Source organism: Homo sapiens, chromosome 2, assembly GCF_000001405.40.
Source record: "Homo sapiens chromosome 2, GRCh38.p14 Primary Assembly".
NCBI lineage: Eukaryota > Metazoa > Chordata > Mammalia > Primates > Hominidae > Homo > Homo sapiens.
In genome coordinates, this window is record NC_000002.12 from 224,561,287 (window position 1) to 224,578,523 (window position 17,237).

Sequence of the window (17,237 nt, forward strand, 5' to 3'; positions counted from 1 at the left end):
TAAATGCCACATAAAATCTCCAAGTTCTGCATTTACAACCTAAGCAACATTGATCAGCTTCACACAAACTTCTGATCTGAACTGGATAAAAATTACTGAGTTAGTGGAATCCTCTCCAAGTCACGTCTGATGTGTATGAATGTGAAAAGAGGAAGGAGTAGGCAAAATAGTTATTTTAGTCACCCTGGCAGTAAAATACCAGCTCAACTCTCAATCAAGACGATCCTTAAGCAAATGACTCAAACTGAATCTTGTTATTCTGATCTTTTCTGAAGAGCTTGAGAAGGAACTTTAACAGAACAATTTCTTTTCTTTTACCGAAATCCTATCCAAGACCTAAGTCTGTCAGAGACTTTTATCAAATGACTGTAAAAGAATTTACCCCTACACCTATACTGCTACCTCTTTTTAATCAGATATCCTGATAGGATGTCATCCATATAAAATGTACTGATGCGGCTAACTTTTCACAAACAGAAGATTCAAGGCCATGTAATAATGATGGCCTCAAATACCATAGCTACGTACGTGCAATGTGGTTTTAGTTTGTTGACTACATATGCTGAGGTTCTAATAAAGCAAACTAAGACACTATCTCTTGACATTGAGTAACAAATAGATAAAGCAAAATACTCAGAACAATTTCAAAAAAGAGAAAAGTTAATGTCAACTATAAGCCTCAAAGATACCTATACTGCTAATAGCTGAGCAAAACATCAAATCATCTTTACAGGCTCTATAACCTAAGATCCTCTGAAAGCCAGAAAAAGTATTAAAATGTCTCTACCCAGAGTAAATTACTAAATTTTTCTACTAGAAGCTGAAGAATTTTAAAACTATAAAACCAAGAGGCTTCAAACATTGTAAAAGTACTCTCACATTATTATAACATAACCATTTTCACATATATACATCAAGAGCTGTTTTACTACACAAGGTTGTATGTAGTGCGTTTTTTTTTTCTTTTTAAATTAATGCCTTATTGATAGATAAAAGATGGGGCTGCAGGAAAAAATGTTCCTTCTGGTGATAGCTAAGGTTAAAAATTTTTCTAACAAATGAGAAGAAGAGCCAGGCACAGTGGCTCCCGCCTGTAATCCCACCACTTTGGGAAGCCAAGGTGGACAGATCACTTGAGGTTGGGAGTTCGAGACCAGCCTAGCCAACATGGTGAAACCCCATCCCTACTAAAAATACAAAAAATAGCCGGATGTGGTGGTGCGTGCCTGTAATCCCAGCTACAGGGGAAGCTAAGGCAGGAAAATCGCTTGAACCCGGGAGGTAGAGGCTGAAGTAAGGCGAGATCGCGCCAGCCCACTCCAGCCTAGGCAACAGAGCAAGACTTTGTCTCAAAAAAAAAAAAAAAAAGACGACGACAATGAAAAATAGACCCAGAGAGATTAAATGACTTACCCAAAATCATAGAGCTGGGATTAGAACTTATATATCCCAAAACCTAGTCCAAATCAGTGGACTAATGTCACATTCCATTGTGCTAATATGGTAAAGTAACATCACAGTCACTGATTATCTTGGTAAACATAGTTAGTATACTGGTAGAGAACATGGGTTTTGCTGTCAGACAGCCTTAGGTTTGTGCCACAGCTTTGTTACTCACAAGCCATGTGACCTTGAGAAAATTAAGTCCTGGGTTCAATAACAGCATCTATCTCAAAGGGCTGTCATGAAGATTAAATGAGAACGTCAGTAGATTTAACACAGCCCAGAGCACAGTATAATCCCTCATGCATCAACAAAGGAAAGTGCCCAATGATAGAATCTCTTGAACGCTCATCGACAGTCATCAAATAAATGTCAGAAAGAAATATAGCTTTTTCAAGCTTAGCAAATATACAGATATGAGCTAAAACAAAGGCACCTTAAGAATAACACTATGATAAATGCACCTCAGTATAACGTAGCTTTCTTTTAGAAAACATTATTCCCCTACATCTCTTGTATACTACTTTTCCAGAGCCATTTAAATCATTTTCACCCTGAGAACTCTGTCCTTGGCTCTTGTCACTCTCTACTGGGTCTCTATGTATTTTCATTCATTGTCATGGTTACATCTATTATCCGTACATGCAGGGTTCTAAAACTTAAGAGGGATTCCAGAGGTTCCTAAAACAATAAACAAAACTTTCCAAGTATACTGTGTGTGCACTTCTTTTCTGGAGAGTAGGTCCCTAATTTCTATCAGATTTCCTAAGTTTGTCCATATCTTAAAGAAGATAAACTACAACAGTCCTCCTATCTACAGTTTCACCTTCCTTGGTTTAAGTTACTAGCAACCAACCACTGCCTGAAAATATTAAATAAAAAATTCCAGAAATATCAATTCATAAACTTTAAATTGCATGCCATTTTATGTAGTATGATGAAATCTCATGCCATCCCACTCAGGATGTGAATCCTGAATTACATCTTTGTCCAGCATTTCCACACTATGTTACACACCCCACACCCATTAAAAACTTGGTAACTTAACAGCCATCTGGTTTATCAGATCAAAATCACAATGCTTATGTCCAGGCAATGTTTATCTTACTTAATACTGTCCCCAAACCACAAAAGTAGTGATGCTGACAATTCAGAAATGCCAAAGAGAAGCAATAAAGTGCTTCCTTTAAGTGAAAAGGTGAAAGTTCTCTACTTAATAAGGAAAAAAAAAGGTATGCTGAGATTGCTAAGATCTATGTTAAGAATAAATCTTCTCGCCAGGGTGGTGGCTCACACCTGTAATCCCAGCACTTTGGGAGGCCCAGGTGGACAGTTCACTTGAGGCCACAAGTTCAAGACCAGCCTGGCCAACATGATGAAACTCCATCTCTACTAAAAATATAAAAATTAGATGAGTGCAGTGGCACACACCTGTAATCTCAGCTACTTGGGAGGCTAGGGCACAAGAATCACTTGAACCCAGGTGGAGGCTGCACTGAGCTGACATTGTGGCACTGTACTCCAGCCTGGGCAACAGAGCAAGACTCTGTCTCAGAAAAGAAAAGAACACATCTTCTTCTATCCACGAAACTGTGGAGAAGGAAAAAGAATCTGCACTAGTTTTGCTGTCGCAACTCAAAACTACAGAAGTATGGCCACTATCATTCACCTTACTTCATCTCATCACATAGGCAGTGTATCATCTCATACCATCACAAGGGTTAAGTACAGTACAAGATATTTTGAGAGACCACATTCATGTTCTTTTATTACAATATAGTTATAATTGTTTTACTTTATTATTGTTGTTGCTAATCTCTTATTGTTTCTAAATTGTAAATTAAACGTCATAGGAAAAAACAGTACATATAGGGCTCAGGGCTATATGGTTTCAAGTATCCACTGGGGGTCTTGGAATAAACAGATTCCCTGTGGATGGGGTGGGGACTTCTGTACTGGCATTTACATTAGTGGCTCCCAAATCTATACTGCCTGCCCAGATCTTCCCCACAAAGTCTAAAACTCTTGTTTCAACCACCTGCTACACATCTCCAATCAAAAGCTCCAGACACAGATCAAACTTATCATGTCAAAAATCCCTGACAACTCACCATCCAAACCTGCCCAAACCTTCTTCCTGTAATCTCTAATTCAGTTGTGGCAATATAAACTACCTAATTATACAAGCTAGAAACATAAGCCTTATATTTTTTCTTATCTCTCATCTCCTTCTTATCCAATCATCAAGTACTACTGACATTAACCCCAAGGTATTTCTCAAATATGTTCCCATTTTTTCATCCCGAATACAGCTGACCACTGAACCATGTGAGAGTTAGGAAAAACTGACCTCCTGAGCAGTCAAAATACTGTGTATAACTTTTAAGTCCCCCAACTACTAATAGCTTACTGTCGACCCAAAGCTTTACCAATAACATAAACAGTCTATTAACACCTGTTTTGTATGTTACATGTATTACACACCGTATTCTTAGAATAAAGAGAAAAAATATTAAGAACATTGTAAGAAAAAGAAAATGTATTTGGTATTCAATAAGTGGAAGTGGATTGTCATAAAGGTCCCCATCCTTCTGGTCTTCACATTCAGTAGGCTGAGGTGTAGGAGGAAGAGAAGTAGTTGGTGTCTTAGGGGTGGCACAGGCACAAGAGATGGAGGAGGGAGAGGTAGAAAGGGAGGCAGGAGAGGGAGCCATACTCTGTAACTTCACAAAAACACATTGTAATTTGCCTGACTTTTCTGCTTTTTCATTCCTCTAAAAATGTTTCTATCTGTTCCCAAATCTTTTGCCACTGTTTGTTTTAAGTTTCAGTGCCCACATCATAAAACAGTCCATGTCGTAAAAGTCAAAGCATTCTTGAGTATCAGAAACCTCCTGCCAGATTCTCTAATGTCAACTTGGTTTTTGGCACTGCTTCTTCTACATCTTCCTCATCATCTGTCACTGGTTCAGAAGCGCTCATCTCCATCAAGTCATCTTCCGGTGTGATGTCCATTAGCTCTTGAATTTCTTCAAGATCCATATCCTGAAACCCTTCACTCCTCACTTTACCACAGTCTTTCGTGATTCTGACTGGCTCTGTTGTAAATCTTGGGAAGTCATGTACAACATCTGGACACAGTTTTCTACAGCAATAATGTATCATTTCAGGCTAGATGGCTTTTATGGCTTTTTAACAATGATGGCATCTTCAATGGTGTAACCCTTCCAGACTTTCATCATGTTCCCTCTATTGAGGTTCTCTTCCATAGCAATGACAATCTTTTCCATAGATTACTACTGCTGCGTTTAAAGAGCCTTAAAGGTCCTTATTGACCCCCCACCTTCCCCATCTACAGGCTGAATTAAAAACACTTTAAGGTCAAGGATACCACTTCAACACCTTCAGTTTTGAAGAACTCATGAGATTCTGGGTGGCTAGGTGCATTGTCCAGTAGAAAAAATACTAAAAGGCAATCCCTTACTGACAAGGTACTTCCTGACGTCAGGGACAAAGCACTGATGGAACCAATCCGGAAAAAGAGTTCTCACTGTCCAGGCCAGGCCTTTTTGAACAACCAAAAGACTGGCAGCTAGTGTTTATCTTTTCTCTTCAAGGCTCAGGGGTTAGTAGATTTATAGATAAAGTCAGCCATGATCAAAAACCTGACTGCACTTGCACAGAACAGCAGAGTTAGCTTATCCCTTCCTGCCTTGTACACCCTAGTATGTGCTTCTCTCCTTTACTAGTCAATATCCTTTGTGGCACTTTTTTCCAGAATAGGGCACTTTTGTCTACATCAAAAACCTGTTTAGACAGATCCTTTGTCTCCAATGATTTTCTTGATGGTGTCTGGGAACTTGTCTGCTGCCTCTTCAATGGCAGAAGCTGCTTCTCCTATTACCTTGACATTTTTTAAGCCAAACTTCTTTCTAAAAGTATCAAACCATCCTTTGCTGGCATTATATTCTCCAGCTTTAGATCCTTCACCTTCCTTTGACTTTGTCATATAATGACTTTGCTTTTCTTAAATCATATTAGAATCAGTAGGTATACTTTTCTTACAGCAATCCTGCACCCACATACAAGCTGCATATTCAATATGAGATAAAAAAGTATTTTGCAAAAAGCACAAGGTTTTTGCACCAGCTGGCACAGGTGTAGCGATGGCTTCACAAACTTCCTTTTAACAATGGTCCTGGCTTCATTTACCTTGAAATGGCAGGTAACCACAGCTGCAGAACTTAATCTAGTACACATCAAGCAATTCAACAATTTCTTGTAACGTCATGACTTTTCTCTGCTTTTTGGGAGCACTTCCAGGTTCACTGGGGGCACGTCGAATGGGTTCCATCGTGTTATTCCAGGTTTACAGTTTTCCACTAAACATAATGAAAAATATGTGAAAACCGCAAAAGAAAACTTTTTACTACACTACAGAGAGAAACTGCTCACACGAAGATGATTAGTCACAAGGTGTTTTTCTCTTTGTTTTCGTTTTTGTTTTAGACAGGGTCTTCTTCTGTCACCAAGGCTGGAGTGCAGAGGTGCAATCATAGCTCACTGCCGCCTCAAACTCCCAGGTTCAAGGGATCCTTCCGTCTCAGCCTCCTGAGCAGCTGGGACTACCGTTGTGTGCCACCATGCGTGGCTAATATTTTTAATTTTTTTTGTAGAGATGGGGGTCTTGCTTTGTTGCCCAGGGTGGTGTTAAAACTTCTAGGCTTCGGCCGGGCACGGTGGCTCACGCCTGTAATCCCAGCACCTTGGGAGGAAGAGGTGGGCGGATCACCAAGCCAGGAGATCCAGATCATCCTGGCTAACACGGTGAAACCCCATCCCTACTAAAAATACAAAAAAATTAGCCGGGTGTGGTGGTGGGCGCCTGTCGTCCCAGCTACTCGGGAGGCTGAGGCAGGAGAATGGCGTGAACCCAGGAGGCAGAGGTTGCAGTAAGCCGAGATTGTGCCACTGCACTCCAGCCTGGGCAACAGAGTGAGACTCTGTCTCAAAAAAAAAAAAACCTTTCACCTAGTTCACTGCAAGAGCCTTCCAAACACTATGAACTCCAACCTCATGGAATCTACTTCCCTCAAAATCACAATCAAAATAAACATAGGCACACCATGACCCTGTTCAAAACCTTTCTATGGTAGCATAGTAGGCACAGACCTAGTTTATGCTCACTTATCCACACCTGTCTGACATGTATTTCCCAACAACATTAAACCAATGGGAATTCTTAAATATACAACTTGCTGTTTCTCACTCTATTTCCATCACTGTCACAGCCCCTCCCCACTTATTTCAGTTCCCATGTCTTTTTTCCCCCCTGCTTTTGGTCCTCCTTTGCTTTGCCTTTTCTTTATCTGATTCTTTACACATATCTTCTGAACACAGCTAGGTGTCATAACCTCTAGGAATCCTTCACTGAACTCCTCAAGCAAAGTTAACAACTCCTTCTCAGTTCTTCCGTGATATTTTATAGTGTAAACTGTATTTACTTAACTATACACTAAATAAACTGTAGTGTATTTTCGTTTATATGGGAATGTGGTGATAGTCTATAACTACTAGTGACAGTTTGTAACCATCACTACACTCCCATGTAGCTGAATTATCTGTTCATGCATCTTCCTCCACTAGACTATGAGCTTAAGAGATTATGCATTTTTCTTCAATGCCACACAGAAGGTTGTAAACAAATGTCTGTTGAATGAATACTACTTTATCCATGTTATACCAATGTAATTTTGACAACACAAACTTTTTACTTATAAGGCACAATGATACAGGAAAACGGTTGAATGTGTTTACCCTCAGCAATTAATCTAATTTTTAAATAATCAAATCTTTTTCTAACAGAAGTAGTGTACAAGTAACACACTTTTAAATTTTACATCAAGCAATATTTTCAGATTTTTCCCATTCACCTAAAGGCCTCACCCAGAAGGCTGCTTAATCATTAATTTTACTAATAAATATTAACTGGGAAAAAAAGGGTAGACGAAATAGGCCCTTCAGAAGCAGATCAATAAGCTACAATCTTTCCCTAAATCAAATAAGTCCAAAAACTACATATCAAATGAAATGGGCTTCAAGTGCAGATTAATACATACACATGATCGGGTCTTGGCATCAAATGCACGTCAACATCCTTGGCAAAATAATTATGTTACTAATGAGCTTTAATCTTTCCACTTGCCCATCCCTGACACAGAAGCAACATTAACTGCTACTGAAAAATTTTTTAAATGCCTAAATGTTCAACTCTCACCTCATCAATATGTTAACAATAAAAACTTTAAGCTATACTTCATTCCAGGAGCAATAAAATTTAAAGGCTCTAACTTTATGTATTAATATATTTTTTAAAAGAGAAGTAACATTCTTTTAAAGTAACATTCTAAATTACTTGAGCAGGGCTTTAATCCCATTGATAAACTGATTAAGTTGCAATAACTGCAAATACACTAAGGGATCTAGCAACTAATGCGTCAGCAAAACAATAAAATAAACTGCACACACATTTATCATCTATATACACAAACATGTAATATTTGCTATCTAATTATCAGATGTATACAGGACCCTTCCCCAAGAAGGCCAAGTTACAAAATGATCAGCAAGCAAATTAAATTCATTCAGCAGAAAAAGAAACAAAAGCTTTTTTAAAGGAAAAATATAATTAAGGATTCTTAAATGTTTATAGTTTAGTAAGACTTTCAAAAACCAAGTCAAGAATTTAATTTTTGAAAGTGATCTTTGCCTCCTTACCTCCCTCCAATCCAGGATTACAATTTTCCCATCAGAAAAGTATCAATAACAAAAATAAATCTATAATGGTCTTTGTTTTCTTTAAAGCAAAATCTTTTCATTTACATTACTTCAGATGATATAAAAAATATAACCTTCAAAATGCCTGAATTTGAAAGGATGTCAGTCTATTATATACTTACACATCTTGAAGGTTCTGTGATTACTGAGAGAACTACATCATGAGACAAATTAAAACTAAATGAAAAGAAGTGAATTCTTAACATCTACTACATACAAAGGACAAGAAGTCTTTAGTCCTCTGTGAATAATTTTCTACAAGAAAAAATTTAGAACAGGGTGGGTGGGGGAAAGGGTGAGAATTTGAAATTCCAGGCAATTCAGAATGACACAGCTAGAAAAAAAATAAACAAGGGAAAATACTTGATCTTAATTTCAAGCTCCAGTCTCAAAAAAAAAAAAAAAAAAAAAAGCTTTGGTACAAGCATCTGAGGAATGGCAGTATTTTTTAAATCTGATACAACTAAACTATTAATTACATAAGGAAGCTCCCTCCCAAACTGTAAGCACCTCACAGTAGATAAGGTCTTTATGTTATTGTACCCCTTACAATGCGTGGCACAATGTATAGATAATATTAAAAAAAAATGATCTGAATACAGTCCATTTGCAGTTAATGATAAGGAGTCTTATTTGATGACCAAACAGTATACAACTACTTATGACATCTGCAATAATACCATTTATCCATCAATTATTCCTTAAGCAACATCAACCATCAAAAATGTAGCCAAAGATCCAAGCTTTGAGAAAAACAGCCCAGTGGGACACATTCAAACAGACTTTGAACAAATTAACCTTTCAAAGCTCACTTTCCTCATTTGCTTGTGGCCAGAGAAACGTGAGACGGTGGACTGTGGGGTAATTAAGAAAGTCTGTGAAAGCATCTGGCACACAGCACTTGCTCAATAAATATGTTTGTTTCTTCCTTGCCTATGTAGAAGAGACATATAGCCTTGATTAGTGACTTAAAACTGAATGTAAAAACTACTGATGTTTGGTTAACTGGTTTCTCTGGTTACAGTGGAGAACAGATGGGAGTGGGGGAGTGCTGCCAAAAAAAGAGCTGATGCCAAGGAAAAAGAAAAAAAAAGATTATCAATTAGAAAAGCACAGCAGCATGGGACAATTCCATGAAATCACAACCTGATCGACATTCAATTGGGCTCTAGTATCATTACATTACAGAACAGTAACATTCATAATGAGAAAGTTAAATCATCAATAGAAGGTTCAATTATGATTTGCATTTCAGTCCTCAATATGAGTAGGCTATCCAAAACTCAATTTGAGAATGTGGGAAATGTGAAACAATTTTTTCAAAGACACAAGGTCAAGCTTCCAGATTAGCCTATTTAAGTCCATTTAAGTCACAGAGCAATTGAGCTAAAAGTACTAACAACTCTTTCGACTATATCTCTGTGAATGACTTTTGCATATATAGAAAAAAAGGTATGTATAACATTTCAAAATGTGATAATGACCACAACAAATAAGATACAATAATGTAAGTACTCTCACTGAGGTAAAAAGCTTGTCACTGTCCTACTATTGGTGCTATTTCCACCCATAAAAATAGAGATGTTACAGGACTCCCTTAAACACATTTTATCCAAAAAACACAGTAGTCATCATAACTAGAATTCAAACATTGTACTTACAGACCCTCTATATTAAGAAAATTAGTGATTATATCTAAAATCAACACTTCAAAATAAAATTTGTTGTATTTCCCAATATACTATGAAATCCAAAACACTACTATTTATACTATTTAACACTACTATTTATTTATACATGGGTCACATGTATATAAAATTACTTTTTACACATTCATCTATGATAATGTATAAAAACTCTATAAACTGTAAGACAATGACAAATTGATTGTACCTAAATCAATTACACATAACCCAAAGGGAAAGGAAAAAAACATACAAAATACCGAACTGCCATAGTTTGCTCTGTCTTTGAATGATTCTAACTGTAATCAAATAAGATATGACAGCAAAAGGTCTATGACACAAAATTGTTACAAAAATCTGCTATAAGTCTGTTTAAAACTTTCCTACAACTGTCAACTCACCAAAAAAAATGTACACAAGAACACAGCTAACTTTCCCACTGCTTCACATTAGAACTTAACCATCATCACTGAACCATACCATTCATAAAGAAAAATCTAAGACTAAAAAGTAAGTAATTTTTGCAACATCACACAAAATATTTCAAACAAAGGCCACAGGAAAAGACACTAGTAGTCGGTGCCTAGATTTATGTATAAACACAATTGTCTTTTACTGAAATTTTTGGAGCTAGAATAAGCCTAAGGTAACCCCAAGTTAAAACCTCTTCATTTCACAAAGAAGAAACTAAGGCTAAGGAAGCTTATCCAAGATCACACAGAGCAATGAAGGAGTCCAAGTGTCCTAAGCTGAGTGTCCTTCCAGGGTACCATGTCAACTCAAATAATCAGAGTGCTCAATACTGAGAAATCATTTTATAATTAAATAGGCCAGTGTTAACATTGAGTTATTACGGCTACATGTTTGTTTCAGTCTGCTAAAGAGAAAAGAGCTTTTAACCAGAAATCAAGCTTCTGGTCATGGTCCTTCCATAAATTCAAGTCAGGAGTGTATCCCTTGGTAAACCACTTTCTCTAGACCCCTGTTTGCTCATCTGTTGAGAAAGAACAGATTCTCTCAAAAGTCTCTGCCACGGTTTGAATGCCTGTGTCTCCTCCAAAATTCATGTTGAAATTTAATCATCAATTTAACAGTATTAAAAGGTACGGCAATGCAGGTGCAGCAGCTCACGCCTGTAATCCTTGCACTTTTGAAAGCCAAAGTGTGTGGATCATTTCAGCCCAGTAGTTTGAGACCAGCCTGGGCAACACAGTGAAACCCTGTCTCTTAAAAAAAAAAAAAAAAAATTGCTGCTGACCTGCACCTGTCGTCCCAGCTACCCAGGAGGCTGCGGTGAAAGAATCCATTAGGCCCTGGAGGGCATGGCTACAGTTAGCCAAGATCAAGCCACTGCAATCCAGCCTGGGTGAGAGTGAGAGAAAAAAAAAAAAAAAAAAAAAAGGTGGGGTCTTCAGGAAGTGATTAACTCATAAGGGTAGAACCCTTGTGAATGGGATTAGGTGGCCTTATAAAGGAGGCTGACAGAGAGTTTATTTTTTTGCCCTTCTGTCTCTGCCATGTGCAGATACAGGATTCGTCCCCACCAAAGAATTCCGAGAGGACAATGCATCAAGACATCGTGTCGGAAGCAGACAGCAGCCCTCTCCAGACAGCAGAACCTGCAGCACCTTGATCTTGAACTTCCCAGCCTCCACAAATGTGAGAAAATGCATTTCTGTTCTTTATAAATTACTCAGTCTGCAGGATTTTGTTATAGCACCACAAAAAGATTTCAAGAGTCACTTTTAGCCCTCAAAAATTAAAATACTAACACAAGAGCACACAAATTATTATTTGGCTAGTGATAGCATTCATCAAAAAAGCATTATTTCTTTCATGTTGCATTTGCGTACACCAAAAGTAGTAAATTATTACTAGAGAATTTAATCTTTGTATTTCTAATACATTTTACTGTTTAATCTATCTCTTTAGTATATTCTTAAAGACAAAAAATCAAAAATCAAAGTATTTTAGACATATTAACTTCAAGGAATCACTTTTTGCTAAGTATATACTTAAATTTCTATTAACCAAATTTTTTTAATGTGTGTCGTCGGCCTTACAATTTAAAGTAGCAAAGTGTTAACTCATAAATAGGTCAACTAGTAATAATAAGCCTTTCTTACAGGTTATGCTTTTGACTGCTTTATTCAAGTCAATACACACTAAGGTCCCCTTAAACAAGTTATATATTCAAATGTTACTGAACAATACACATTTCCCAAGTTTTTCATAACTTTTATAAATGGTCCATTTACTTAAAGCCAGTAAAACTTAAGCTTACGAAGGAAGCTTACGAAGGCTTCTTCCAACTCCTGGAACCTGAAGGTAGATTCTTTTTGTAAAGAGAGTAGTGCATTGTATAAGCTTCAGCGTCCCCAGATCTGCCCCTGGCTAATAATTTAAAAGGTAACCTTAGAATTAATTTTCTGTATAATGAAAACAACATGAACTTTTCAGTCAGACATACCTAGAATCTGAATCCCAACTCTGCCCTTCTCTAGGCGTATATGTAATATCATAAATATTTTACTAGTCCTCTCTGAGACCCAAATAGATTTAAAACAGGAGTAACCACATTATACTTAAAATTGTTTTCAGGATTTCAGATAATTAGTTAAAAGTATCTAAAACAGCCTACCACAAGTCAGACATTCAACAAGTTGTCACTAATCTTACAAGGCAACCTCTAGTGGAAATGGAAAGGAATTGGAGATGAAAAAGAAAAAGGAATTTTTCACCATTACTTTGGAGAGGACAGGGCAAACAGAAGAGGCTAAGTGTTGCTCAGTTAAGAGCTGTTTTAGGTAAGAATGACTTACAAACACATATGTGAAGGAATTCCTCTTAGCAATGATGGCTTGCTTTTATAAGAAAGTATCTCTAAGGAATCTTATATTTTCTTAAAGTAGGTAAAAATTCCCCTTTGAAGTCGTTTTATTCATCTGCTCAGCAGTAACATTTCTCATTTAAAGAGTAAATTTGGGTCCAATCCTTTCTCAATGATTACAAGTACTAAATGGAGGTCAAATTAGGAAGTTTTGCTTAGTTACATTTTCAACTTTAAAACTGAATTTAAAAAAAAGAATGCTGTCTAGTAGCAACAGATTTGGATTAGGAGTTAAGGCAACTACAGGATCAGTTCTCAATTTCCTATTAACCGTTATCAAGTTGAGCAAGTAGTATTCTCCTCACCTTTAAAAAAGATTCATTAATAATTATTACTAGTGATTTTAAAGCAATGGTTAACAGCATTTCTTAAAATGAAATCTTTTACAGAACCCCATATACAAATGGTAACACAGGAGCTGCTCTCAAGGACCACAGAGGGAGCTTTCAAAGATTTCTACTTAACACTTCCTAGGCCTCCTGGGTCCTAGACACCCTCCAGGCTCCCTGTAAACGTTTGAAAATAACTGCCCTACATGAAACAGAATTATAGTTGAAAATTTTGATTTTATGATTGGGAAATTCTTTTAAATGTCATAGTGATACCACTATTAGCATTTTCTGACATGATTTCATTTAATCCTCACAATTTGTGAAAGACTGCTGTAGTTCTCATCTTAAAGAGGAGGAAACAAACTTAAAGAGTCTGTTAGTTCCTTTATTCAACATTGTGTACTATATGCTGGGTGCGTACTGCTGTACTGATCAAAGTCATAAAAAAGACTGAGGCCTCCTCAAGAAAATTATGCTCTAAAAAAGGAAATAGAGACTCCTCTCTCAAGAATCTTGGCTGTGAAAGGAGGTAGTTACTATAATGCAGAAGACAGGAAAAAGACATTTTCCTTCTCTGAGACCAGAGGGAAGGAGTCGAGAATGAATAAAGATGCAGATTAAATAATATAATTGAAAGGGAAGAATGCTGAATGAACTTCGAACTTTCACCTAATTACATTCCTTTTCACACTGATGTAGTAGTTAGGTTTCTTGAAGTAAGAGCAATTTGAGAATTCTCAAGAGATAGCTTAAGGACAATGATTAAAGTTTGGAATAGCTCAGGCAAGAAAGGGGAGAGGAAGCTGACCAGGGACATAAAGGAAACTGCTCAGAGGCACTGAGAGTCCAGCTAAATTAGAGACCACTGTCTTGCAATTTTCTCCAGGAGTAGCTAGAAAATATGTTCAGTGGGGGCAAATAGGTAGAACGATCCAAGATGCTTTCTGCTGCTATTTCTGGCCTTGTTCTGGGGAGGTAGTAAGAAAGGGGCAACTGGTAACATAGGTGGAAGTGACAGCACCATGGCTTGGGAGAATAAATGGGTCTTCCTGAGATCAAAGGGCACATTAACGTGAGAAGGAACCAAGCAACAAGATAGAATAATTAAATAATAACACCTTGCATTTATGTATAATGCTTATTATGTGCCAAGCACTATTCTAAGAAGCTTTATATGTATTAACTCCATCTTTAAAACAATTTTATGAGGTAGGTATCATCATTTTTTCCTTTTTGCAAAAGAGGGAACAGACAAGACACTAAGTGATTTGCTCAAAGTCCTACATCTAACAAACAGAAGAGCTAGGATAAAATGCAAAATGGAAGTTTGAAGATTTTTAAACTAGTAGGATGACAAGCTCTAAGCGTGAAGATCCCTGCAATACAAGCCTGTCTGATCGCCACTGTAGATCCAGGACCTGACCCATAGCAGCAACACACAATAAACGTATTTTAAATTGAATAAATGAATGACTTCCACATGCAATGAACAAAATTAAAATAGAGGCTAGACATAATATCTGTGAGGAATGTATTAACATAGTATCTGTGAGGAAGGTATTAAACTCCTCAATGACTGAGGGAGCATGAGTTCAGGAAGTCAGATGGTCATAGGGAGAGAGCAGGAGAGTAATTCTCAAGCCAAAAAAGATGATGATGGAAGTGGCAATAAACCACATCTGGGCCCAATAATTCAAGGACTGTAATAGAAACCTCAATTCAAAAAGATAAGCCTGAGAAATAGGGGACCAGAGTGTACAATTTAACAGTGTGACAGGAAGGGATGAGATGCGAAGAACAGTCATGGTGGAGGAAGTGAAATGTAGACCACAGCTAGTAAACAGAAAGACTGGACCGCAGACTAAGTCTTCTAACTCCCAATTCAGGGTCACTGACAATTTCAACTCATTTTTCCAGGAGACTAGGCTGACTACCCTGCTACATACAGAAGTGCCACATGATCTTTAACGACCCTCTACTACATCTTAAGACTTCACTTAGAGTTACAAAAACTTCAAACATTTCAGAGCATCATTTGCGCTGACTCACTGAATTTATCAATTACTATGGTTTGGCTTAGAGGACTAGTTTCTCATGTAATCAATCATTCACTAACCACTCACACTATGCTAAATGCTGCATGGTTCAAAACGATGTCTGGCATAAGCTTTGGACAGGGACCACAACCTAACCTAGTTCAGGAGTGAAAAAAAAGGGGGGGGGGGGAGGAGAAGGAGGAGAAAGGGAGGAAAGGAAGGAAAAAAGAAAAACTAGATGTGTTTTTAGATGCACATTTAACGTACATATTATAGAACATGCAAACCAAATGAGTGTTTATTCCTTCAATAAAGTTACAAGAGGTTACACACTTACTCTAAGGATTACATGTGAATCATATATGAACTTCTGTTTTTGAAGCCACCCCTCAAGAGCCAACAGGATTCTTTAAGTATCCCAGTGGTACTAAACCCATATCCTTTGAGAATGCTTTCTTAGAACGATTCACAAACTGGCTCTGCAGGCTTTTCAAAACTTAAGTTCTAGAAGTTGTACAATAAAATGACAGGATCGCTAAAATAAGTGTATGGCATTCGATGTAACTGCTTGCAAAAACAACATCCAATTTTAATATTGGCCTAATCGTGGCTAAATATTGGTATAATAATAGTTAACTATCTGCTAAGTTCTATTTTAAAGCTTTATTTTATTTATCACACAACAAACCTGTAAGGTGGGTCTCATTAGCAGTCTCATTTTACACAGGGGAAAACTGAGGCTACAAGAAGTAACTTGTTAAAGGTTATGCAGCTAGAGGCCGGGCGCGGTGGCTCACGCCTGTAATCCCAGCACTGTAGGAGGATGAGGCAGACGGATCACGAGGTCAGGAGATCGAGATCATCCTGGCTAACACGGTGAAACCCCGTCTCTACTAAAAATACAAAAAAATTAGCCAGGCGTGGTGGCAGGCACCTGTAGTCCCAGCTACCAGGGAGGCTGAGGCAGGAGAATGGCGTGAACCCGGGAGGTGGAGCTTGCACTGAGCTGAGATCACGCCACTGCACTCCAGCCTGGGTGACAGAGCGGAGACTCTGTCTCAAAAAAAAAAAAAAAGGTGATGCAGCTAGAAAGACATGGAGCTGGTATTCAAGCCCACACTCTTAACTACTATGCTTTCAGTCTCTTTACTTTTTAGTCACATCCCTATATTCATATGTTGAATACTCCAGTGCAAAAGTAAATGAAAATTCTCTACAGACTATTCATAGTTTTATTCTCCTAAGTAGTCAAAGAAATGCAAATTAAAGCATTAAAGTACTATTTTTTCACCTATAAAATTAAACATACATTATGCTGGGTAAGATACTGCTACACAGAAGTTAAACGGATACAACCTTGAGAAATATAATTAATTCTTAAGAGTGCTCACTTTAGAGCCAGATTGCTTGGGTCAGAATCCTAGTTCTGCCACTTGGAAGAATACCTTAAGCAAATTATTTAGCCTCTCAAAGCCTCATTTGTAGAACAGATAATAGTAGTATTCAATAGAGTTTGCTCAAATGATTAAGTTTAGATATGCAGAGTACATGATAAGCATTTAGAAAGTGTTAGCTATTATTATTACCCTTATGGAGGTCAATTAGGTAATATATTTCAGTTACGTGCAGCCCAATAATTCCATAATCATAGATGGACTCAAATATTTATGTGTCTAAATAGTCATAGTTGCAATCTTTTTTAACAGAAAAAATATGGACTCCCTGGAATCAACCAAAATATTTGGCAATAGGGAAATGGTTAAGCAAACTGAAGTATGATAGTCATTAAAAACTATGTTTTCAAAAATTTACAGTAAGAAATTTTTTAACAGCAGCATATACAATGATTATCTTACCTTAATTTTACTGTCTGTTCAGCCAACAATATGAAATTAAAATTCCAAAAACACATGAAAATGTTAATGTTGTTTGTTTCCAAGTGGTAGGATTACAGGTGATTTTTTTTATTTCCCTACTTGTACATTTAGATAATTATCAATTTTTCTACCAGGAA

The 17,237-nt window shown here is 37.2% G+C and overlaps 1 protein-coding gene across 4 annotated transcripts in view; it reads right to left on the reverse strand.

The window, feature by feature from the left end:
• Positions 1–17,237, reverse strand: part of CUL3 (cullin 3) — a 115,214-nt gene that overhangs the window by 91,137 nt on the left and 6,840 nt on the right. Inside the window, exon 1 of one of the 4 annotated variants that reach the window (NM_001257198.2) lies at positions 8,403–8,669. The exons of 2 other annotated variants lie outside the window; for them this stretch is intronic. In NM_001257198.2, the coding sequence (NP_001244127.1) occupies positions 8,403–8,486 (84 nt within the window). In that variant the 5' untranslated portion in view covers positions 8,487–8,669. Of the gene's footprint in view, positions 1–1,907; positions 2,051–8,402; positions 8,670–17,237 lie in introns of those variants that run through there. One more of the 4 variants, XM_006712800.3, reaches the window with a different exon arrangement.